The following is a 26,299-nucleotide window of genomic DNA, read 5'->3' on the forward strand; positions in this document are numbered from 1 at the left end:
AGCCCAAGTTCATTTATCTTTATTATTTATGGCAATTTGCCAAAATTTATGGTAAATTTGTCATCAATATGATAAAATGGAAGAGTGTAGCTTCTACTTATATTTTTATCATCCTCTTTTAATATGTTTTGTATATTTTTATGATGTATACATTAGTATAATAGTACATGTATATAAAAATACATATGATAGCAAATATTTAAAAACATATTTATAAATATATATTTAAACATACTAACAAGTGGTTTACTGATAGAAATTTGTATGTTCAAAAGAATTTCCAGATCACTACTTTACTATATTTGGAGGACATTCTTTACAGAATTGATTCTAAAATTGACCTTGGTAAAAGATTGCAAATCACCATAAAAGACTTAAGTCATTGTTTGACCATTGCTTTATAAAATAGGATAAATGATTTGTTCTCCATTAAGAGAAGCTCAGAACAAACTTACTTTGAACCCAACTGTTTTAGGTGTGTTGAACCCTTTCAGCAAGCTCAAATCATAATGTATCTAAACCTGTACTTCTGAAAAAAAACGGTGATCCTTGAGTATGCCACCATTTCCTCAGCAGAAATTAATAATATATAGATCATCTTTGAATCCTTAGACCTTAATTTTAATTGTGATGTAATTACATTTAAATTTATTGTGATATAATTAAGCCTTAAGCTTTGGCCATTCACTACCTCATAGCTTTGCATTATAGATGCACTGAAGCCTAAACTGGGTGATATCCAATAACATGAACAATAAAAATGCAAACATTGCTTGAATTATGTTTTGTCTAGAAATAAACAGATTTCACCACAAGGTTTCCTTAAAAACATGTCATATATTTATATTTTATCTGTAGAAAATGGCACTCACCTGCATCCACTGCAACAACTGAAATATTGTATTGGTTGTTTTTTACAAATTTGGATTCTCTATCTAGTACTTTTAGAGTTCTCAAGTCGCCAGTGTGTTGATTAATTTCAAACCAGTTATCTTCATCCCCTAACTTCTGATACCTAATTTTTAGAAATCAAATATGAACGGTCAAATCAAAGAAGGGACATGATCTTAAAATCTGTCATTTTGAAAAATACATAAAACATTCATAACTTTAAAAACAATTTACATCACAATTAAAATTAAGGAGCTTTTTGAAAAGTACATCACCTTAAGCCTTCACCACTGGATATTTCCGGGTCCAGTGCTTTGTATCCAAGGAGTTCTTGGCCAGCTGGGAAGCCATCTTGACTCTGAATAACTTTCACTGGAGGGTGGCATTCAGGGCCCTCATCACTGTCTATAATTTTAACGGTGACAGTTGTAGTGCACATTGTAGGAGTTTGTGAGCTCGCTGCTTTAGAGAATTGTGCCTCGTTAATGACACCAACTTGCAAAATAACTTGGCGATTGACTTCATAGTTCAATGGCTGTTAAATAAGCATACTTTAATAAGTCAATATATAACATTATATATAAGACTTCTAATTTCAAATTTTCCTACAAAGGAATATCATTTTTACATTTAAAATGTAACCTAAAGTTAGGTCTAATACAGTTAAAGACCAACAATTAGCTTCCTAAAGTGACAAACATTGCCAAATGCAAAATTGTTGATTCTCAGATTCAACCCATTTTTCTTCTCATTTTTCTTTTGGAAGATCTTGCCTTCGGCCTTTTTCATTATAAGTTTAAATATTAATAGAAATGCAAGATAAGTGTATGAAAAAATTCAAATTACTTTACTGCTTATTATATGGGATAACAGTGACAACTAAATTGCCTCCAAACTAAGTATATACAATAATTAGATAGAAATTTGGCTATAATACAGCAGTTACTCTATGCCTGACTCAAAAGATAGAATGATATTTAACAGCACCTTTTCAAAGCACATTATATTTCAGGCTGTTTAGTTCCTGATGAAAGCGCTTGGTCCTTGATATGGTTGGCTATGTCCCACCCACATCTCAACTTGATTTGTATCTCCCAGAATTCCCACCTGTTGTGGGAGGGACCCAGGGCAAGGTAATTGAATCTTGGGGGCCAGTCTTTCCTGTGCTATTCTCGTGATAGTGAATAAGTCTCGCAGGAGCTGATAGCTTTATCAGGGGTTTCTGCTTTTGCTTCTGCCTCATTCTTCTCTTGCTGCCACCATGTGAGAAGTGCCTTTTGCCTCCCTCCATGATTCTGAGGCCTCCCTAGCCATGTGAAACTGTAAGTCCAATTAAACCTCTTTTTGTTCCCAGTTTCGGATATGTCTTTATCAGCCATGTGAAAACAAACTAATACAGTCCTAAAATGAATAGTTAGAAAGAATCCTAAAACAACATTTAAATGGTGAAAAAAATATCAAGGGGGAAAAAACCTAAGAACAAGAAAAGAAAAAGAAATAAAGAAAGAAAAAGTAGACAGTACAATAATTAAAGAATATTTTCTAAAAATCTTATCAGGAGAACACAATGTCTGCCTGAACCTTCTGAGGACTTAAACTGTCTCTAAGAAATTAATGAATGAAGCTATGCAAGAAGTCAATGAGAGCTATGGATAGATGGACTAAAAAAGAATTAGGTCCAGTTAAAGTAATCATCCTAGAAACCAGTAATTGCAATTAAATTTAAAAAATCCAAAGCAATGGCTACCTGGAATATAGGGGGATTAATGGGAAAAGTTGCTGAATATTTAGTTCAATAGTCTCTTTTACAGAATACATCATAGAGAGGTAAAAATAAAATGTACTATGAACATGAAAGGAGTTGAAAAGTTGAGGCTTGATTTCAAATAGTGATTCTTCCATTTTCTTCTTTTGTGTTCTTATAAAAAAGAAATGTGGACAAGTAAGTGTCTAAGACCCCTTCTAAAGCAAATATCTGGTTCAGTATTCAATATTTCTCTGTCTTGGTTTTCTTCATATAGAGAACAATGAGTTTTGTACCTGACATGACTTTCTTCTAAGAGAGAAAATTAGGGTAAGAGAATAAGAAACAACAAAGTTTATATAAACCAATATAAATCATTTGGCCTTGCACTGCAGTAGTCTAGTCATATACATATAAGAATTATCTCTTAAAATCAGTGCGTGAGTTAGGATATTTTAAAGCATAGCCTGATTATTTTATTTGTTTACCTTGACAACACACAGCACTCCTTCATTTGTATTTGGATCTGTGCTAATTATGAAGTTTCCATTTTCATTTCCTTGTAGGATTTTGTATACAGCCTTTGAGTGAGGAGTGTTTGGCAAATCCTGATCCTGTACCTTCATTCGTAAAATCTCCACGTCAATTCTGTTTTCTTCTACTTCTGTAACATACTGAAAGAATTGCCCCTTATTATTATCAATTTACAACTTTGACAATGTAGCTTTATATTCTAAAACACGTATTTAAAGAAAAAAATAAATAAAGTGATGTGAAAAGCTGCCCTCACTATATGGGGAAACATTTTACAAATTTAATGCGTAGCTTAGTTCTTTCCTCCTGAATTGCCTTTTCATATCTTTTCCATTCTTCAAAGGCTACCCCAAGTCTTATCTTCTGAACTTCTCTGAGATAATTTTCCTAATCATTCTAGACCTCAGATTTATCTCTTCTCTGCACCTCTACAATATTTACAGTCTATCCTCTCCCATTTTTACACAGTAAACACTTAATAAATGTCTTATGTTAATATATTAAACACTCAGTACTTGTAGGTAATTATAAACGTATGTTGGCTTCTTATTTCTGGAGAATTGTTTTCACACCAGTGTTTCCAAATGTACTTTTGATTCACTTGCAAACCTTTAGCAGAAAAGTTTTCCTTTTTTTTTGAGACATTAAACAATAGCCCTCCACAAAAATATTATTACAAAAGCATAAGATATTAAAGACTAAAAGAAGTAGTAAATTGAATCTGTTAGAGATAGAAGGTGAATTCATATAGGAGGATGATAGACACTGGAGCGTAATAGACCTAGATTTGAATCCTGGTTATTCCTTGTATATGGTTTATTAGTATGAGATCTTGACTTAACAGACTTTCTATTTCCTCATATGAAATATGAGGTAAAATATATCCTCATATATTGTAGGGATTCATGTAAGAAATTACATGAACATGTCTATCACTGTACTTGCAGGTTTTTCCTTCTTTGACTTGTGCTCTGGAATAAGTTAATGAAAAAATGAAAGGTTATTTATCAAAAGTTCAGGAAAGGAGAACCATTTCCTGAAACTATTGTCATAAAAATATAAATATATATATGTGTACACAAACACACACATCACACATATATATATTTATATATATCTCTTATTGTTTACCGCCTAAGGAAAAGTTTACTCATGGTACAGGAAGAGCTTGTTTGGAGTTGTGAGCCAGCCTGTACTACTGTCTCCGTAGGCTAGTTCCTTACTTATCTTAAGAAGTTGAAATGTAAAGGACACCAGAGAGAGAGCCTCTCCTCCTTCACCCTACATAAAGATTTAATGCCAAGGAATCTGGTAGCAGAGCTTAACACCAAAAAAATAAAATAAAATAAAATAAAAGTTTAACACATGAGCTACGTCTAGGGCTAAGAAGCTCTTCGGTAGCCAAGAGCATGGTTATTTCCCTAGCATCCAGAAATAACTAGTACTTCAATTATTTGTACAGAAATCATATTTTTCTCCCTATGTTATTTGTAAGTAGTAGTTATTTAAATCAAACTGTCAAACTTTGTGATCTCACAGAGCTACCAAATTCTAGACATGTTTTTTGAAAAAGTAGATAAATCTAGATGAATGAATAGAGAGGTATACTCACAGAAGTTTCTGTGAAAGATGGTGGATTGTCATTTTCATCCTCAAGTGAAATAGTAATTGTTCCTGTATTAAATAAACCGAAAGGCTGACCACCCATGTCTCGCACTTCCATTATTAACTGGTAAGTATCACATTTCTGAAAAAAAGGAAAAAACTACATTAATGAACACTTTTATTTCCTATAACTTGCAATTCTCACAACCACTTGTTTAGGCACGATTATTGTACAAATATTCTTTTTTACTTTTTCTTTTATATATTTATTTATTTATTTGAGATGGGGTCTCACTGTCACCCAGGCTGGAGTGCAGTGGCATGATCTTGGCTCACAGCAACCTCTGCCTCCCAGGTTCAAGCAATTCTCCTACCTCAGCTTCCAGAGTAGCTGGGAGTGCAGGCGCCCACCACCACACCCAGCTAATCTTTGTATTTTTAGTAGAGACAGGGTTTTACTGTGTTGCCCAGGCTGGTCACGAACTCCTGAGCTTAGGCAATCTGCCTGCCTCGGCCTCCCAAAGTGCTGGGATTACAGGTGTGAGCCACTGTGCCTGGCCCAAATATTCCTTTTACGTATAATTTTGTTAAAAAAAAATAAAGTACAGAACAAGATATTGGCTGATTGGTACAATGGAAAGGTGATGTGTCTAATGTAACATTTTAAAATTTAAAGCTGCTTTATTTATAATTGCCAAAACTTGAAAACAACCAAGATGTCCTTCAGTAGGTAAATAAACTGGTACATCCAGACAATGAAATATTATTCAGTGCTAAAAAGAAAAGAGCTATCAAGACTTAAAAAGACATGAAAGAAATTTAAAAGCATATTACTAAATGAAAGAAGCCAATCTTAAAAGCCTACATACTATATGATTTCAACTATATGACATTCTAAAAAAGGGCAAAATATAGAGACAGTAAAAATATCAGTGGTTGCCAGGAATTAAGAGAGAAGAAGGCATCAATAGGAGAAGCACTACAGAAGCAAAATAATCCTCAATAGGAGGATTTTTAGGGCAGTGAAACCACTCTGGATGATACTATAATGATGAATGTGTGTCTTTACACATTCGTTCAAACTCATAGAATATATAGCACCAAGAGTGAACCACAATGTGAGAACTATGGACTTTAGGTAATAATGATGTGTAATAATGATGTGTCAACATAAATGTATCAGTTGTATCAAATATAACACCGTGGGGCAGGATGTTGATAGCAGGGAAGGCTATGTGTGTTGGGAGGGATAGGGAGTATATGGGAACCGTCTGTATTTTCTTTTTCTTTCTTTTTTTTTTTTTTTTTGAGACGGAGTCTCGCTCTGTCACCCAGGCTGGGGTGCAGTGGCGCGATCTCGGCTCACTGCAAGCTCCGCCTCCCGGGTTCACGCCATTCTCCTGCCTCAGCCTCCTGAGTAGCTGGGACTACAGGCGCCCGCCACCAAGCCCGGCTAATTTCTTTGGATTTTTTTGGTAGAGACGGCGTTTCATGGTGTTAGCCAGGATGGTCTCCATCTCCTAACCTCATGATCCGCCCGCCTCAGGCTCCCAAAGTGCTGGGATTACAGGCGTGAGCCACCGCGCCTGGCCCCCGTCTGTACTTTCTACTAAATTGTGCTGTGAACCCAAAGTTGCTACAACAAACTTTATGAATTTAAAAAGTTAAGCATATTGGAGCCAGATAAAAGTATTTTTTAAAACAAAAATAAAATAAATGTAAAGCAATTTTATCATCAACAAATCAAATCAGGTTAGTGATTTCAAGTGAGGCCCTGTCTAATATATGGTACTTTCCCAACATCTCTAAGGACCGAGGACATCTCCAGAGAAGCCCTAACCGCAGCCTACAGAAGCATGCTGAGAAAGGAGGCCAGACTGGCCATATTGCAACTTCTCTCGGGAGTTCATTCTCAGTTTAAATGTAGTTCAATGACTAGATAGTTAATTAATCATCATTACTTCTCTATCCAGAAAAGGTGTAGTTGTGGTGATGACACCGGTATCTGGGTGTATGGAGAAATGCTTTGGATGATCTGGGATTTGTTGTAAGATTTTATATTTCAGACGAGTATGGAGAGTGTCAGGTTCGTCAAGGTCTGTGGCGGTCACTTTTCCCACTGAAGTTCCTGTTTAGATAAATCCAAAAGTGTCAAAAATTTCTACTCATATAATTGAATTATAAACAAAATAAAATCAAGGCATTGCTGTAGCAAATTCTCCCCCAAACCACAAGTAGATTAGTTCTACTGTTAAGTTGACGAATGTGAAACTGTTCTAAATGTCTCCAAGCCTCCCTTACTCGGGAACTTCAGTTAGGTGGCCCCTGTGAATAACATGATTCATATTCTACATAGATGAGAACAGTTCCCACACTACCCTTAGAAACAGTAGTTCTGAAATTCTTTCTCTCTAAGTTCACGGGCTATTTTTAAATTTAACTTAATTTAATTTTAGATTTGGGGGTACACATGCGGGTTTGTTACAGGGGTATATTGTGCGATACCGAGGTTTGGGCTTCTAATGATCCCACCACCCCCGTAGTGAATGTGGTACCGAATACGTAGTTTTCAGCCCCTTCCCTCCTCCTTCCCTCCCACCTTTTGGAATCCCCATTGTTTGTTGTTCCCATTTTTGTGTCTATGTGTACCCAATGTTCAGCTCTCACTTATAAGTGATAACATGTGGTATTTAGCTTTCTGTTTGTGTGTTAATTTGCTTAGGATAATGACCTCCAGTTGCATCTATGTTGCTGCAAAAGACATGATTTTATTCTTTTTTATGGCTGCATAGTATTCTATGGCATTTGTGTACTACATTTTCTTTATCCAATCCACCATTGAAGGGCACGTGGATTCATTTCATGTCTTTGCTATTGTGAATGGTGTGGCAACAAACATACAAGTGCAAGTGTCTTTTGGTAGAATGATTTGTTTTCCCTTGGGTATATACCTAGTAATGGCATTGCTGGCTCAAATAGTAGCTCTGTTTTTAGTTCTTTGAGTAATCTCCAAACTGCTTTCCACAGGGGCTGAACTAATTTACATTCTCACCAATGGCATATAAGTGTTCATGGACCATTTTTGAATGGGACCTTCTCTGCATACCTTGCCTCTTTTATAACCCAACTTGATAAAGTTAATCAGAGGAATACCACATCTTTTCATGTAATAACAAATATTTTATGCTTTGTACTTTAATAAATGTGATAAATTATTAATGTATACAAATAACTATTAATATATGCAAGACAAAATCATAGGGAGTAGTCTATGTATCATTTAGACAAGCTTCATAGTCCAGACATGAGAGTATTAGACACATTGCATTAGTATTGTGAAACAGCAATATTATTCACACATATGTACATGGAAACAGAATGGAGGAGGCCACAGGAAATAACAACTGTTCTTGCAACATTTTAAAACAAAGTAGTCAGTCTTGTTATACCCCTTAGTAGTCTTGGGTCACAGACTTGGCTGCACATAGCATCAAATCAGTTTAATTTTTTTTTTCATTTTGTTTGGAAGATATGCCAAAAAAGGCAATGTATATGTTTTATTTATCAGATCGATATTTCCATGCCATGATATATTTCTGGTTCCTTGAAAATGTATTGAAACTTTATAAAGATTCAAATTACGTACTGTTTCATAAACGCACCTGTGACACATATGTACATGGTAAAAATATAAAATATCTTTATATTTAATATGAATGGCATTTGTCTGTTGCACATTCAGATCTGTTGTGTACTAATCTAACCAGTTAGTAACTTTATGTATCAATTAGCTGCCTTCTATATGTGGGTAGCAAGATGAGCACAGAAAGGTTTTCCTTTGAGAAGTATATAACCTCATAAAACTAGAACGTTTTATGTAGTATATCCTTGAAAGTCAAGCATTTAAAAATGTTCTACATAATTGTGTTTAAAATATTAATAAGGAATTCAATGGAAGCAAAAATCTAGTGTTTTCCTAAAATTGCCATCATCCTAAACGCTGGTTACAAAGCTAGGCTAAAATGAAAGCTAATACCCAACAGTCATTTAATAAAGAGAATTCAGGAAAACAACACTGATATTATAAGATTTTAATATAAACTGGTACTACACATACATAGCCTACAAAAGTCAAATCCTTTGAATTTCAAATGTCTGTTAAAAAAAAATTCCTTGGCACCATAAAATAGACATTCCTGTATGTTTGATTACATCACTTTTTTTGGAGTATTTTTCTTGCTTTGAAGGAAAAGTTGAATTTTTCCTACATTTAGGCTTCTATATATCCTTAAATGACACTTTTTAAAAAACCACTGAATGAATGAATGAATGAATGAAAAAATAACCTCTTACTTTGTTGGAAGAAAAAATGATCCCTGGCCCACGTGTAAATCCCCTGTAATATTCTCTATGGATTTCTGGGTATAGTCCCTTTTATACTGAACAACAACTTTTCCTAATGGCAAAATTGAGCAATATTTCCTTCACTCCAGACTTTCTAAGCATGCATTGGTAAACCAAACACCAACTTCAGCAACAACCCCACCCTGGAGAGAATTTAGTCAAATAAATGCTGCCAGAATTATAAAATCATGATATAAAAGGGAAAAATGTATAATATTTTATCATATGAATATGCTTAAATTTAAGAAAGTGTGCTCAGAGTCAATTACCACCCTTAATAGCAATGTCATATAACATCAATTCCTAATGGGAAAAAAAGTGTATGTAATCAGAAATACCAGAAAATGCATAAAATGCAATGATAAAACGTAAACATCTTTAATTATAATACTTACGAAATGTCAAATAGTCTTCTTGTCATGCTACAATAAAATGTGAACTTACCGGATCGGCAATTTTCAGGCACAGTAAAGATAGTCACTCTGTGTTCAAAATATGGGGCGTTATCATTATCATCTTCAATTTTGATGATCAAAGGGAGTGGATATTCTGGTGCATAGCCATCTGCAGTTGTTGCATAGCCATATAACTGAAAGAAGGGAAAATACCATCAATGTATTCTCAAACCACAAATTATGCACAAAAGTAAGCCTAGCAGTGGGGGAAAATGTAACATTAAAAAAAAAAATCATTCCCAAAGACCCGTAACTAAGAAATGATGCAATAGAGAGATAACCCACAGATGCAGTCTCTGCCTGCCATGTGATTTCAATCCCCTCTCAGCGTTATTGCTCATTATTCTCCCACTCTAAGCACCATGCACTCCAGTTGTTCTCTGAATTAACTGTATGCTGTTTTACTTGTTAGAATGCATGTAGATTTTCCCCAACTATGTCATTAACACGTGTTTTTAAAGTTTATAAAAATACAATTCTATTTATGTACAGATGTATATATACATACAAATAAATGGACATCACAACTATTTCAGGAACTCAATTATATGTTTTTTACCTATATTTTCTCATTTTTCTATGGTAAGCATGTATTTCTTTGCAATAAAAATGTTAATAAAAGCATATACATACCAGAAATTCCATTTCAAAATGAATGCCTTGTCCCCAACAGCCAGTATGTATTTAATGTCCTTTGCCTTTAAACTCCAAATTATTCCTACACCTTCCTTATGTGGTTTGTGCATAGTAAGTGTTCAGCAAATAGTTGTTGAATGGATTTTCATCCCTCATGGGAACAACTAAACCTACCCAAAGTGAATTCTGCATTAACTCAGCTTTTTACCACAACTAGCTCTTCTAATTTTCCCTACTGTAACCACTTCTAAGTGAACTAGGATTAAAATTCCAGGCATCAAACTCCTCCCTCTCTCTCATAAGCCTTAGTAGTCAGTTGCCAAGTTCTAGAGATTTTGGCATTTTTGTGTGTGTCATGCATGTTCTCTTTTCTATTCCCACTGCCATCATTTTCAGGTGACTCCAAATGCATTCTACATGTTGACTCACTAACTTTGCTGCAGTTGTTCTGACATTCCCTGTTCTAATCGATGTGGCCTCAGAAGTCAGATTTTATTGTGCTTTACAATTTTAACCACGATACTCACTAATCAGACTCGTCAGTGATTTACCCACTAACTGCTAAATTAACCACAAAATCCTCATTATTGTGTTAAAAGGCAACATTTCATGTTCACTGTTCGTGCTAACCTGGAAAGGAAAGAATGTACACTCCAAACTCTGGAATGGAATGTATTAAAATAACCATTCATGTTCTCTCTGCCTTCCTACTCATTTTTCTCCAAGTAACTTCCAGGTGGTATTTTTCAGTAACAAAACTTACATTATGGCTTCCATCAGTCTGATCTCTATATCTTATTTATCAATAAATTCTAAATTCAGGAGTGGAATACAGTAGTCTATCATTACCACTTCACCATACCACCACCACCATCATCATCACCACTTACCATCATCATCACCACCACCACCACCACCATCATCACCACCACCATCAGCAGCAGCTCCATCATCATCATGACACTGCCATCACCACCATCTCCACCATTATCACCATTATCATCGCAATCACCACCACCACCATCACCACCACTACCATCACCACCATCATCATCACCACCACCACCACCATCACCACCACTACCACCATCATCACCACCACTACCACCACCACCATCATCATCACCACTACCATCACCACCACCACCACTACCATCATCACCACCACTACTACCATCATCACCACCACCACTACCATCACCACCACCACCACCATCATCACCACCACCATCATCACCACCATCACCACCATTATCACCACCACCACATCATCACTGCTACCACTATTACCATCACCACCACTACCACCACCACCATCATCATCACCAGCATCATCATCAGCACCATCATCACCACACTACCATCATCACCATTATCATTATCATCACCGCTACCACTACCACCACCAACACCACCACCACCGTCATCATCATCGCCACCGTCACCACCACCACTATCATCAGCACCACTACCACTGTCACATCATCATTATCATCATCACTACCAGCACATCCAGGTATCAACATCAGTCACCCTTCCTAAAAATCCTTCCCTTTCTCTTCGTATAGATGATGTGGATTTTTATTCCTTAAAATGCTGTCATTTTGATATTTTAGCTGGATAAAACTATAAAATGGTTTTATATCTCTATTAGATTACAGTTGCTGTCAGGCTTGAAGACTGAGACTTACTGATACGTGTATCCTAGAAGTACCTGACACAGTAACACACTGCCTTACCTTGGGTAAGTCTTCAATAAATAGCTCTTTGCATTCAATTCTACTCATCTTTCCTTTTAGGAAGACAAACTACGCCTTCAGTTATCCTTCTGTAAAAATTGTCATAAAGATTCTATTGCATCTCTTGTAATGAATTTTTCTACCTCATTAAAATGGTATTAACAAGTCTCCTTATCCAACCTACTAAGTCCACACTGCTATAATTTAGACTAATTTGTCTTAGTTTTTCTCTTCAATGGAAATGAAGATCATCTGCTTCCCACCATATGCTCATTTGTAATTTGAAATAATATTTTTGTTATTTGACTACAAGTAAATATTATTTCACATTCCGCTGACTCAGAGTTGGTGATTTTACTTCAGGTAGTATCCTGGTTTTGTTTTATTGTGCTAATAATGAACCAAGTATCTCCAAAATAAATCAAAATTGGAATCATCATTAAAACAGAGCCTAACTCTCTAGGAGAATTGACTTATGTTCATATGATAGAGTAACTCATTATAAATATGTTATTTAGTCAACAAAGCAACAATTTCAAAAAACTCAATAGAGGTAATGGTTTTATTACTATATCCATCATTCTGTATTAAAAGCAATAATAATATACTTAAGTGTTGTTACAATAAAAAATAATTTAGAATATTATTAGTTGTATTTTTAGCTAGGTTATAAGTGGGTTATTTAGTGTCATGTGCGTGTTATTGTGATATAGTTTCCTCTGAATTATTCTATAGCTTAAAGAATCTCATCTCTTTTAGCCCTTTCACACTATATATTGCTGAAATTGCTGTCATCTTTGGAAAAATGCAAACAGCTACTGACAGAAATAGGGACTTGAGTTTGGCCTTACAGTGGCAGGCATTCAGTAGATGGGGCAGAGAAAGGAGAGAGCAGTAACACCAAAGCTGAGTGGGTACAGAATGTGAATTAACAGCACATATATGAAGAGAATTAATCGACTTGTGTGCCCAGAAGAGAAAATAAACATTACAAGAGGCCGGGCACAGTGGCTCACACCTGTAATCCCAGTACTTTGGGAGGCCGAGGTGGGTGAATCACCTGAGGCCAAGAGTTTGAGACCAGCCTGGCGAACATGGTGGAACCCTGTCTCTACGAAAAATACAAAGATTAGCTGGGCGTGGTGGTGGGCGCCTGTAATCCCAGCTACTCGGGAGGTTGAGGCAGGAGAATTGCTTGAACTCAGAAGGCAGAGGTTGCAGTGAGCCGAGATCGGATTACTGCACTCCAGCCTGGGAGACAGAGTGACACCCTATATCAAAAAAACAACAAAAAAAAACAAGATAATAAAAGATAGTAAGGTTCTGGTTGAATAGGAATAGGTAAGAAAGGAGCAGATTGAAGCTAACTTTTCCAAAGGTACAGATTATCCCCAACACTCAGAGAGAAAGGAAGTTTGCAGCTGCTTTCACAGCATCACTTGGAATTGTTGAAGAAAGTTCCCTTCTTATATAACTATTCTTTGAATATGTATTGAATTAGACCTATGGCTACTACTCCCAAAGCTACGAAATCAAATTATTTCAAATAAAAATAATCTATTATTAATACTTAACATGAATATGGCTTATATAAAATCAAAGAATTAGGAAATTCCATGAAAATTCCCAGGTTTAAGGACAAAATTCTAGAACACGTGTATTGTTAAATCTACCATTAGAATATCTTCAACAACTTTTACAGTTTACATAGTGGTATCACTGGTATTACGGCATTTAATGATCAGAACACTACTGAGGTTGGGAACACAGCTACTAGCAGCCCATAAACAAAGAAGAAAGCGAACTCTAGGAGGTTGTGATTTGTTTGAGGCTACAAGGAAAGGAACAGATACTTAGGATCTACCAATTCCCAGAAACATACATTATTCAATATTTTAAACTATTATTAAAGTATATTACGTTAAAAACATATTATCTTATTTTAACCTCTGCATTGACAGGGAAGTCTTCTATTCTATCCTGCTTCAAGTGATTTTATAATTGCATCAGGTTTACATCTTGTTGCTATACCTCACTTAATGAATTTTACTAATTTGCAAGTGGTGTTTCTTAATGCCAATTCAAACTTAACTGTGTTAATGGGACCTACAGAAACATGGGTAATTCTGAGGCGAAATTATTTAAAAGTTTAACTTTGAGGATAAATTTCAACCTATTTTATTCATTTACATTTTTTTAAATGTTAAAAATAGCAAAGTAACTTATTTTTAATTATAAACTGTTCTCTCCTTTTCCCTCTGGCAATGATCACAGTAAGAAGCAAAGATAGAAAGCAGGTTGGCAAACAGAACCCTATCAAACAATTCCTCAGCAAAATTGAAAATGAAGTGAATATTGCAACATACAGAGTATGAGCTTTTTATATCTCCTCAAGAGTGACTTCTAGTGTTAGATCTTTTCTCTAGTAAAGAAACTGTAAAAGCAGCAGAGAACTTACTATCAATTATTTATTTGTTTATGAGTAGAAAGATCAAAGTGATTGCAATGGTGCTTAGCTTACTTCTCCTGTAAGAACTTGGATACACTATTTTTTAAAGTAAAAGTGTGTTATATTACTAGAAGTAAAATATGTTTATTCTAGAGAATTTGGAAGGGAACATAAAATTATAAAGAAAATATGCCACTACAATCCCACCATGAATTTTGTATTTAATTATGAAACATCTAAAGTGGAAAATTTATACAGTTTCAAATTTTTCACTACCTTATAGACTGCTTTGGAGGATATCCTTACGATAGAATCTACTCCTTAGGATAAATTATAAGGTCTTTCCCTCTCTATTTTTTACTTACTAGCTTCATATTTCACACTCTTCCTTAGCTTCAAATTACACTTCAGCCAGGGTTTGTTGTTGTTGTTGATTTCTTTTTAACAAGTAAATATTTCCATTTCTGATGCATCTTCCTGGAATACTTGTCTACCACTTCCCATCCCCACAATTGTTAACTTCTTTCATAACTGCCTTGAGGTGGCCACTAACTACTACTCATTCTCCAGATGTCTGCTAAGATATTACTCTCTGAACTGCCCAAGTATGAGATAAGTTTCATTTTTATATTCTCCTTTAGCAAAGAACTTTATTATACTCTTATATCATTCAAGACAATAAATGCTTAATCAGTTTTATTCACCACCATTCCAAAAACCTACTATGAATATCTCATTTCATCAGATGAGACATCAGTCCACCAAAGAGTTATATAAAATTAACAGAAACAAAAGGATTTAATTATCAGAAGAGTTAGAATTGTCTTGTCTTTGGGTAGGATAAGATAGAATCAAATGAATTGATAAACTTGTTCTGGGTTACTAAGGAAGTAAAATGGTACTAAGGGATCTCATTGCTGAAGAATAGTGAGAGAAAGGGATGCAAAAAAAAAAAAGCTATGTAAGGGGCTAAGGCAGTGGATCCAACACTTACACATTTAGAATCACGTTGGATGACTGGATCTCATCCCAGAACAATTAAATCAGAATACTTGGGCATGGGTCCAAGCATCAGTATTTTTTTTCAAGTTCTCACATGACTTATAATGTACAGCCATGGTTGAGAATAACTGAGTCATTTTATTATGGATAACTTTAAATTCAGTAAAACTCTTTGTTATTTCTCCAGGATTACAGACCAAAATATATCCTTTAAAATTCCATCGTTATATTTTCTTTACCTCCCCCGCCACTTCCCTTATTATATCCACTGTTTTTCCCCATCAATGGTGAATAGAAATTTAAAGTTTATATTGCATATTAATATCTTGAATATTAAATCAAATAATTGATTCTTATAATATGTAAACAAGCATAGTTGAAAATATTAGTAAGCCAGTAATAAAGATATAATTATGAATAAATATTTCAATAATCCTACCGCAAACTGTTCATATTTCTCACGGTCAATGCTCCTTGTACAAAAGATATCCCCAGTGTCTTTCTCTATGTAAAACAAATTGAAGGGTTCTTTGTCCACGCCTGGCCCACTTATGGAATAAAAGATGGTGTAATTCTGTGCAGCATCAGATTGGATCTGCAGTAATAATTTAGGAATAGAACAAATACGTCATGATGAATATTTTCAACCTAACCTCTTGTGATGGTTTATTTTTTTACCACTACCCCTCTTTCCTACTCTCCTATTCTTTCTTTCTTCTGCTTAGGTGCCCATTATCTGCCATGTTTTCCGAATTTTTATTTGCATTTTGCATTGTGCAAAGCCACAAATTCTGTCACTTATTTGATCTCAACTTTTTTGTCATTTGTATATCTATAAAACATGTAGAGTAATACACTTTTCAAGTTTTATCTATTTATTCTTATCTTCATATAAATAATAGTAACAGTTTCCGTGATTTTGAATTCTTTGGAATTGAAAATTATGTGATAATAAAACTAGAAGTAAAGCAACTTTTCTTCCACAATTAATTCCTCAAGAATTAGAAAATTTTGGCCGGGCGCAGTGGCTCACACCTGTAATCCCAGCACTTTGGGAGGCCTAGGCAGGTGAATCACCTGAGATCAGGAGTTCAAGACCAAACTGGTCAACATGGCGAAACCTTGCCTCTACTAAAAATACAAAAATTAGCTGGGCTTCGTGGTGGGTGTCCGTAATCCCAGCAACTCGGGAGGTTGAGGCAGGAGAATCGCTTGAACCCAGGAGGCAGAGGTTGCGGTGAGCTGAGCTGATGCCACTATACTCCAAAATTTCAAAACTGTTCTATGTTTGCAATCCAGCTATGTGGCAGTGAGGCAATCTTACTTGGTAAGCAGAAATACAGGTCATTTTTATAAAAGATGAGTGTTAGTTTAAGCAAGAATTGAACTATGCAAAACATGTAGGTGTGCCTTCTGTACATTAGTGTTAACAAGTCTAGCATAGTATTTGGGTGAATTTAGACATAGACCTAAGAGCACCAGAAACTCCAAATATAAAACTTGTTTCTAAATTTCTAAATATGATATCTGTAAGAAAGTAATAAGATATACTGGGTCACTTCTATGGGACCCTAGTTCTGGTGAATAGATGATCATTATTTGTACCATTAGTTTAAACCTCTGATTCAATATGCTGTGCAATTCAAATGAAAAGTTTAAGAACAAAAAAAAATTTGGACACATATAAAATCAAATAAGTGAAATGCACCTGCTGAACGTGTTGTGGAAATGGACCCAACGAGTTCTCCATCAATGAAGCTGGAATAGGAGCCCATCGTCTCTTGCTGCGCTTGAGGGCTGTGTCTTTGGTATGTCTCTTCTTAGGAGACTACATTTGACAAGAAACAAAGAAATGTAGCATTGCTTATCATTTTTTGGAACTGTGATTATTTTACACATACATCAACAAGCAGATGTAAGGGTTACACATTACAATATCATGGCTAGTCAGCAAAGCATTTCTATTGATAAAACACACACACACACCTCAGACTACATTATGTTCCCCCGTTCTACCTATTTCTCTATTTACTCAGTTAACCACCAGGAAATGTATAGGGCATTTGGAAAGATGCCACTTTGAGAAAGTATAAACTCCCCCTAAAATAGATAATTCATTAATAAATATTTAAGGATCAACTTTATTCCACTAGGACTGGCACAACCAAAATCTGTTAAAACCCTCACTCCACAATACAATCATTTATACATCTATGTAGACACAGGTCAGCATTTGCTCAAGTATACTTGATTTTATATAATGTGGGGATTTTACAATGTGGATATAAAATAACATTTTTAAAGTCTTAAGCATATTAAGAGGAGTTCATACAATCAAAAAGAATTTAGTTGGGAAATCCTCTCCTAAATAGAATCATTTATTAAGAAATGGTTTTATAAGACGAAATTCATTGTGGTGAATTTGCTGAAAATGAGATGTGAATTCCAGCAACTTTTTCCTCCCTGCTTTCTGAACTGATCTCTACCGCTCAGTGCAAGAAAATGAGCCTAGAGTTAAACATTCAAATCAATTCTGTGGATTGGCCACACCTCCACTCTCTGAAGAGAGGGCCTGCCCTATAGAATATTCTAGTAAGATGGGAGTAAGCTTTAAACAGTCTCTTCTCCTCTTTAAAGAGAGACTCAAACCCGCAATCAGTGGGAAGAGAGCCGCACAGGGTGGAGCCCACATCTCCAGCCTGAATCACATTTCGCTGAGTTTTAGACCCGCCCCTGTCTTGTCCTTGCTCCTCAGGTTGGTTTGTTCTTATTCCCAAACTTGAAATCACTATTAGAAAACTCTGATATTCTTACTTTGCTCCTGGTCTACAGAGTCATTCATCTTTATAAAAGTTTGTAAATGGCTCTGCCACTCCTTAAAAGTCTAGTCTTTATTTACACTAATTGTAAGTGGAAAAGACAAATTTGTCATTCAATAGCATAGATTTTAACATGAAACACGTTAAAACACATGAAACACGAAGGACTCCCGTAAGCATATTACTGTGCTAGGCTGCTTAAGCCCTTGCCTTATACCTTGTTTTCTCTTGCTGACAGTACAACTTTTATCTCTTGTTGTTCCCGTCTCTGACCATCTGAAAGGAAAATGGAAAAACTTTTCCTTTCAGAAGACAAAATGAGGTCATGTGTTGTGTAAATTGAGCCATCTTCTAGAATTCTGAAGGCAGGGTCACTGGACCGGATTAGGCTGGCCGACTTGAGACACTCCTCCAGATTCACTGCAGGGAAGAAATATCACAGCAGTTTGTCAGATGAAACAGGAGTGGAACAAGTTTTACAGGAATGACAGCCGTGAGTTAATGCATGAGAAGCAGAAAAAGGGAGGTTACATTTGGAATGTGCTCAGCACCTGCTATTCTAAAACGTGGGGGCCATGAAAATTAAATAATTATATTAATGGAGTCACATTTTCCACTACCTTCGTCATACATTAATTTGAGAAATAAAATATTTTCCTAGTGTCACTGATTTTATTCTCTTTTCTTTGAACTCTTAATTATTGTGTGTGTATAAATTTATATATGTGTATACAAACTTGATTTTTTATGTCATAAGTGGTATAACCGTATGATGTCAGTAGGTTTTGAACTTTTTGCAGTAGTTTGATACTTAAAACTATCTTGCCAAAAATAAGAAAACTAAGTGGCTCACACCTGTAATCCCAGCAGTTTGGGAGGCCGAGGTGGGAGGATCACAAGGTCGGGAGTTCTAGATCAGCCTGGCCAATATGGTGAAACTCCATCTCTACTAAAAATACAAAAATTAGCCAAGCATGGTGGCGTGCACCTGTAATTCCAGCGACTCAGGAGGCTTAGTCAGGAGAATTGCTTGAACCTGGGAGGTGAAGGTTGCAGTGAGCAGAGATAGCACCACTGCACTTCAGCCTGGGCAACAGAGCAAGACTTTGTCTCTAAATAAATAAATAAGAAGAAAACCAGTCTATTCTTAAGTAATATTTCCCAGTAATATTGCAAATAATCTTTCTGTAATATCTTTCAAGGTTTAGTAAACCCGATGCGCTGTGGTTATTATCAAATTACCTCCTTTACAGATTCATATTTAACACATTTAGTGTATTTACTATGTGTCTTTAGAGTGTGGACTGTTTATTAATTTCAAACCTTAAAGCACTGGGCAAAACAACATCTGGCTTGGAAAGGATACCATTTCTGTATTGTTTGTAATTTTTTACATGTGAATGCAAAGCCAGTGAAAAACCTTGATGAAAAAAATTTTACGTTTGGGCTCAGAACAACCAACTTATACTTCAGAGATGGCTATGGTACTAAGACCCACCAAAACTGTATTTGATTTTCACAAGCTGTTCTGTGAAATATGTCACATTTATTCTTGGTGGATACTTGTTCATTGTAATCAACCTCAAGTACAAATTTTATTGGGGGCATTTAGATTTTGAGACATCCATTTCATGTCTAATCAATTGAAGAATCTTGGCTTTGAAATTTTGGCAGCAGATTAGTTTATACAAATTAGAATATGCTCCTGGTTTTGGTGCCTTGCTTTGTTTGACGTAATCCAAGATAATTGAGCCTTCTGATGTTTGCTAATTTTTTTGGCAAGAGAAGTATACAACTAACTTTGGTATTTTAATTATTTCTAACCACTACCAAAAAACAAGTAGCCTGTCTTTTATTGTACATCCGATTTTAACTTCAAGTAGCTACTATGTGGTTTTTTTTTTTTTTTTTGAGACAGAGTCTTGCTCTGTCGCCCAGGCCGGACTGCGGACTGCAGTGGCGCAATCTCGGCTCACTGCAAGCTCCGCCTCTTGGGTTCACGCCATTCTCCTGCCTCAGCCTCCCGAGTAGCTGGGACTACAGGCGCCCGCCACCGCGCCCGGCTAATTTTTTGTATTTTTAGTAGAGACGGGGTTTCACCTTGTTAGCCAGGATGGTCTCGATCTCCTGACCTCATGATCCACCCGCCTCGGCCTCCCAAAGTGCTGGGATTACAGGCGTGAGCCACCGCGCCCGGCCTACTATGTGGTTTTTATCCCAAACTTTACAAGAGCAGCCTGCAGCTAAATGTGACAAGTTACAGCTATGAAACTGTTAATAGTGTTTCTCACCTTTGCCTACAAGTGTTTCAGCCTGAAGATGAGAAGGAACTCGAAGATAAACTTTCTGACAAGCATCGCAAAGTAATGTTAAAACCTCAAAAAAAAAAAAAGAAAAAATATCAGGAATTAAATTTGATCACAAATTTTCACATTGTAGCTTTTTCTTATTGATAAAAATATTGTCAATTTTGGAAACAAATTAATCATTTAATTCTTTACATTTTTAATACTCACTTTAAAAGGAACCAGCAAAGAGAATAGCTTTAGGAATAGCACTGTCATTTATTTGTCAATGAAAAAAATTAAGTGAATAGTAGTTCTTAGAACCTAAATCATATTGTGTCAATGCAAGAAAATATTTCACAAACCATTGACTTTATATAGAAGTTATACGTCTCTAAGACCATTCATAAATGCCATTCTGATTTTTAGCATGAAGAAAATACTTACCTTTGAAATGCATAATTACATATATGCCCTAATTCTCTAATCATCATTTTACTATTTGAAGTTATAGTTGATGAAGTCTAGAAAATAGTTAAGGGCTTTTTTAACCTCACAGAAAAATAATGCCCCCAAAAAATCATTGTTCTCAAATCAATTTTGTGACTGACTTGGCCAAAACGCCAAAATCTAAATGATCTCAAATCACATGACTAATCTAAAAAGAAATATATGTCAAAATATGGAGAGTATCCTTCAGATGGGTGAAGATTTTTAATTAAATTCAAGGCCCAGCTATTGTTTTTAAAACCTAGGTAGTTCAAAGACATAGACACTATCTGAAAAAAACAAAAGAAAAGCTATCATTTCAAAAATGTCTATAGGTTCAAAATATATTTTACTTCTTTTTCTTGGCATTTTCTGTTTGTTCCTCTTTATCAAAATAACTGCTTTTTTATTATTTAAATATAAGATAGAGTAGAGCTAGGTTTTCCAGAAACATGTAGGTCAATTTTATGATCAGCTTTCAGCTTTTCTCTGAATTCTAGAGTTACGGGACCCATTACTTGCGAGGAGGAAAGAGAATGGATTAACATCCATATTAAGGATGTGCACTTCTTTTCCAGCTCATCTCAAGTCTACCAGATATACTGTAGCAGTCTAATTAAATAGTTTGTAATTTTACAAAAATCTATGTTAGGCAGAAATCTGGAATTAAAAGGCCACATTTTTATTTAGTCCTAATTTAAAAACCACTTTTTAAAACGTGAGACATTCGTATTTATTTAACTTTTTAAATATGTTCATCCCTAATGCCAAGGAACATAATAAATTATACTTAAAGAACTTTCTAAGCATAGACCATACTGTTAATAGTTGTCTAAGTATACAATGTGGAAACAGCATATTGTAATTAGGCTATGCATAAACACATACATATACATATGTACACATACATATGCATATACCTGTACATATACCTATACCTATATATGTATGTGTATGTGTGTATATATATACACACAGTCATATATTGCTTACATTCTAAGAAATGCAACGTTAGGTGATTTCATCCTTGTGCAGACATCATAGAGTATACTTACATACACTTAGAGGATATAGTCTACTACACACCTGGGTTATACCTACATGGTATACACCATGATTTATATATGTATGCCCCATGGTATGCACCATGGTACAGCCTAGGTGTATAGTATATAGTATAGCTTATTGTAAGCTACAAACCTGTACAGCATGTTCCTCTACTGAATACTGTAGGCAATTGTAAGTATTTGTGTAACTAAACATTTTTAGATATAGAAAAAGTACATTAAAATACAATATAAAAGATAAAAAATGGTTCACCTATACAGACGAGCTCCATTATAATCTATGGGACCACTCATATATGTAGTCCATCATTGACTGAGGCATTGTTTTGCAGAGCATGACTGTATATGTGCGTGTGTGTATATATATATAAATGTACATATATATATATAAATATATGAGACATTCTTATAGTTATATCCACACTTCCACTCCCACCCCCATCTTCTTTCCTTCTTGTCCTAGGATTCCATGTTGATGGTCCTCCCTCTGCAGGCAGAGCCACTGAAGGTTTCCATTCATTAAATACTATTCCCGTCTTCAGGTTAAATCACTGACTAAGTGGCTTAGTGACACCCTTTTAGTCAGTTTCAGAGTCAGAAATAAATAAACAGGAGATGAATTGTCCAAGAGATATTAGACAGTACAGGGATCAGAAGCAAAAGAAATGTGGGTAGAATCCTTTGAAACATTTTTACCACATTTTACCAAACTTGTACTAACTTAAGATGGTATCTGAGTTATCGTCTCCCTAAGCAGTTACAGGATGAGAAGGTGACCATCAACCCTGCATTGTATATTATTTACATGGAGAAAATGTTTGTCCTCATACCTGCCATTTCTAAAAATATATTTTGAAACTCAAGTATTTTGCTAAAATGAAAAAATAGGAAACTCACACCTCAGAAATGATGGACGGATGTGTGAAATAACCCCCCTCTCTTCCCTCACCTCCAAAGAAAAAATAGCACCTTACACAGTTACAAAGCTATTAAAAACCCAAGTGGAAGCCAAGTTGAGGATATTTTCAATGACAGTCACATTTTTGTTATTTTTCTTAAACTATTCTTTGCTTAAACTGCTTCGTGGGTAAAATTCAAAAAGTCCTGGATAATTTGCATGTTCACCCAGAATCCTTTCTCTTTTTTTGCAGCTTAGTAGAACTCAGCATGTTAAATAACATGAGTTTATGTAATCACTGGTAGCAGAAGTAAACCTCAGAAACTTCTGGGCCAAATGCCTAAAGAATGAATTCACTTCTCTACTCTTAGAAAATCACCACAGCAGGATGGAAGAGGGATTCCCTTGAAAACTTTTAACACTCTGGCAGTGGGTGCTTGAGAAGTAAGCTGAACACTTTCCATCCTGAATCCCAAGCCTCTCAACTCTTCCCTGAATCTTCCTCAGATCTGCTTTTGTTTTCCCCAATCTCTCTTCTCTGCCTCCCATCCTCACTCCTAGTCTCTTTCAAGCCCAAACTGCAGAGAGGAAGCAGGTAGTAACATGCTTGAATTCCCTAATCCTTTGGTTGTTACTCACCAGGAGAGAGAAAAGGAGCTGCTTACAGAAGATGCTCCCTGGGGCAGCAGAGGCCAGAGCCATCAGAAGCAGTCCCAATGGCCAGGGACGGTGGCCAGATAACAGGGCAGCCTGGGATGCACAGAGCGGCTAAGAAGACGCTGGCACTTGCACAGGGTATTCTGCTGCCACCTTGATGCAGCTGAGCTTGGTTTGGAAGACAGTCCGGAGGCAAGTGATAAACAGTAGGAGGAGCAACGGGAGAATTTCTTTCCCCCTATTCCCTGGCCAGTCTCCTTCCTTCCAGTTCAATTACGTCTAAATGCAAAGAGGCTTTCCTACAAGTGAGGAGGGTGGGGTACAAAACACCCCAAAACCCAGTCAGTAGCTCCTCCTCACAGCAGCTTTCAAAATTTCTCTTGCCACTTAACACATAGGCAGAAGGAGGAGGGAACACCCTTCATCCTCAGCCCTCCTCCCTTTCCCCCAGGTTGATGCTGTGAAGTCCTCCCCAGTTATTACCCACTCCCACAGCCTCCCCTCCTTCTTGGCCTTATTAACCTGTCTTGCCCTCGGGTACAAACATAAATTGTGCACAAACGCCATGCAAGGAAGTGATGCCTCCTCAACTGCCATTGGCAAATCAGAGGACCTAAGCGTGTGTAATCACACTCATCAGAAGTTATCTCCCATCTAAGCATTTAAGTGTCATCGGTCCTGTAGAACACTGTAGTTCTGCTAGAGAACTGGCATTCCAGTTTAAAGCAGCAACTTCATAAAGGCATGGTATCTACTTCCTGTTATTGACTATTCACTGTGGTTGGTTCTCTAGATGTCACAGGAAACTTATCAGAATGTAAAGACTTCATAAAAGAAAGAGAATAAAGAAATAGCTAGCATATAATCTTTCTTGTGGCTTTCCTTTTGTTGTACAAGATGCCACTGCTTTTTACCTTTATATTTTTTCAAGGACAACTACAATCTTTGAGAGCAAGTCTCTCTAAAATCACTCTATTCACCCTAATTACTTGTACATTACACATAGGATATCCTAGCTTAATAGTACAATCAGGCCATCAAGTGTAGATTTTTTTAAACCCTAATGATTCCTCTAACAAGAGCTTTAGCATCATTATTCCTGTCCCAAATTAGTGAGCTCAGTGATACCAATTGCACTCAATGGCAGTGATGGAAGTTAGGACAGAAGGATAAATATTTTCAAATGTTAAGGTAGAGCCCAACACCCATGCTGCTGAGAAGGGAGGAAAGAAAGGTTTTCTTCAGCTTATTTGACAATGGGAACAATTTCTCCTTGTATGTAGAGACAGAAATAAATGTAACTGCTTCATTAGAATTAGAAGCTAGGAAGATTTGGAAAATGAATGACCCAGGAGAAAAAAAACTAAAAGATATCTTGTAGTATTTTATTGCTAGTGGTATACCCACTAATAAACATATTTTGTGACTGCATTGGAATTTGATTTCTCAATCAGAAAATACAGTCATTTTAATGGAATATTTTTATATCTGGCGTTTTGGGAGAAAAGAATGGGAATATAGAAATAGAAAAATTACTTAGATGTATATGTGTACAGCCAAGTGTAATTCTGTGCATGTTTAAGCATCATCTAAGTATATATTTAGATAGATAGATAGACAGATAAATAGATAGTCATACAGCTTAAATAATTCAAAGACAAATTCTCCAACCCTAGAAAATAGAAACACATTTTTTTCAGCTAATGAAGTTATCATTACCTTTTTCTATAACATGATATTCTCCACTGAACTAGGAAGATATAGAAGAGCAAAATTAAATTGGTGTTACTGAAAAAATGGCATATATTGGTTGGATGAAGAGATTCCAGGCACTGCTCAATTCAAATGAATCCAGAATACTCTCCACAGTTCTGGGAAGTTGATGTTCTGATCCTACTTCTTTTGGCCTACTTTCTGCGTGCTCTCTTTTCCCATTATCTATCTTTCTCAAAGGTAATAGAAAAACTTGTGTAAAAGCTAACCCCAAATTATTGGTTTGCAAATCTGTTACATTACTATTTCTCCCATATTTTGTATTTGCACACAAAGGTTTCCTAAAAATAAAATATAGGCACTTTATAGGAAAAAATAATTTATTATTACAAATTATTGACTCTTCCTTAAACGTGAATCTACCTTAAAATTAAATGAAAACAAGACATATTTCTTCCAATTTTCTGGCATTAGATCATTCAGTAAGAGCTCTGTCTTAGTCTGTTTTCTGCTGCTGTAAAGAAATACCATAGCCTGGGTAATTTATTAAAAAACAAAACAAAACAAAAACAGAAATTTGTTTGGTTCATGGTTCAGGAGCCTGGAAAGTCCAAGAGCATGGCATGGGCATCTGATGAGGGTCATCCCATGATGGAAGGCAGAAGACAGAAGCCAGTGCACAAGACAGACAGGGAAGTGGCCTAACTTATCCAGTTATCAGAAGTCCACTCTGATGATAACTAACCCACTCCCGAGGGTGGGGACTTCATGGCATAATCAACTTTTAAAGGTCCCACCTCCTAACACCATTACAACGGCAACAAAATTTCAACATGACTTTTGGCAGGGACATTCAAACCACTGCAAGCTCTATTTTATTTTTATTTCTATCTGTATGTTTGTTTGTTTTAA

The 26,299-nt window shown here is 35.8% G+C and overlaps 1 protein-coding gene and 1 long non-coding RNA gene across 3 annotated transcripts in view; one reads left to right on the forward strand and one right to left on the reverse strand.

The window, feature by feature from the left end:
• Window positions 1-23,914, forward strand: part of DSCAS (DSC1/DSC2 antisense RNA) — a 61,202-nt gene extending 37,288 nt beyond the window's left edge. Inside the window, exons 3-4 of the long non-coding RNA NR_110785.1 lie at window positions 11,924-12,013; window positions 23,660-23,914. This is a non-coding gene — a long non-coding RNA (DSC1/DSC2 antisense RNA). The remainder of the gene's footprint in view (window positions 1-11,923; window positions 12,014-23,659) is intronic.
• The window catches only part of DSC1 (desmocollin 1), a 33,621-nt gene extending 9,640 nt beyond the window's left edge, over window positions 1-23,981 (reverse strand). For both annotated transcript variants that reach the window (NM_024421.2, NM_004948.3), the window contains exons 1-11: window positions 23,657-23,981; window positions 20,570-20,654; window positions 18,496-18,698; window positions 17,168-17,287; window positions 15,899-16,054; window positions 9,623-9,767; window positions 6,736-6,902; window positions 4,782-4,916; window positions 3,124-3,309; window positions 1,167-1,426; window positions 873-1,015 (exon numbers count right to left, since the gene is read on the reverse strand). In NM_024421.2, coding sequence (NP_077739.1) covers window positions 873-1,015; window positions 1,167-1,426; window positions 3,124-3,309; window positions 4,782-4,916; window positions 6,736-6,902; window positions 9,623-9,767; window positions 15,899-16,054; window positions 17,168-17,287; window positions 18,496-18,698; window positions 20,570-20,654; window positions 23,657-23,719 — 1,663 coding nt within the window. In that variant the 5' untranslated portion in view covers window positions 23,720-23,981. The remainder of the gene's footprint in view (window positions 1-872; window positions 1,016-1,166; window positions 1,427-3,123; window positions 3,310-4,781; window positions 4,917-6,735; window positions 6,903-9,622; window positions 9,768-15,898; window positions 16,055-17,167; window positions 17,288-18,495; window positions 18,699-20,569; window positions 20,655-23,656) is intronic.

The sequence above is a fragment of the Homo sapiens genome, chromosome 18 (genome assembly GCF_000001405.40).
Source record: "Homo sapiens chromosome 18, GRCh38.p14 Primary Assembly".
NCBI lineage: Eukaryota > Metazoa > Chordata > Mammalia > Primates > Hominidae > Homo > Homo sapiens.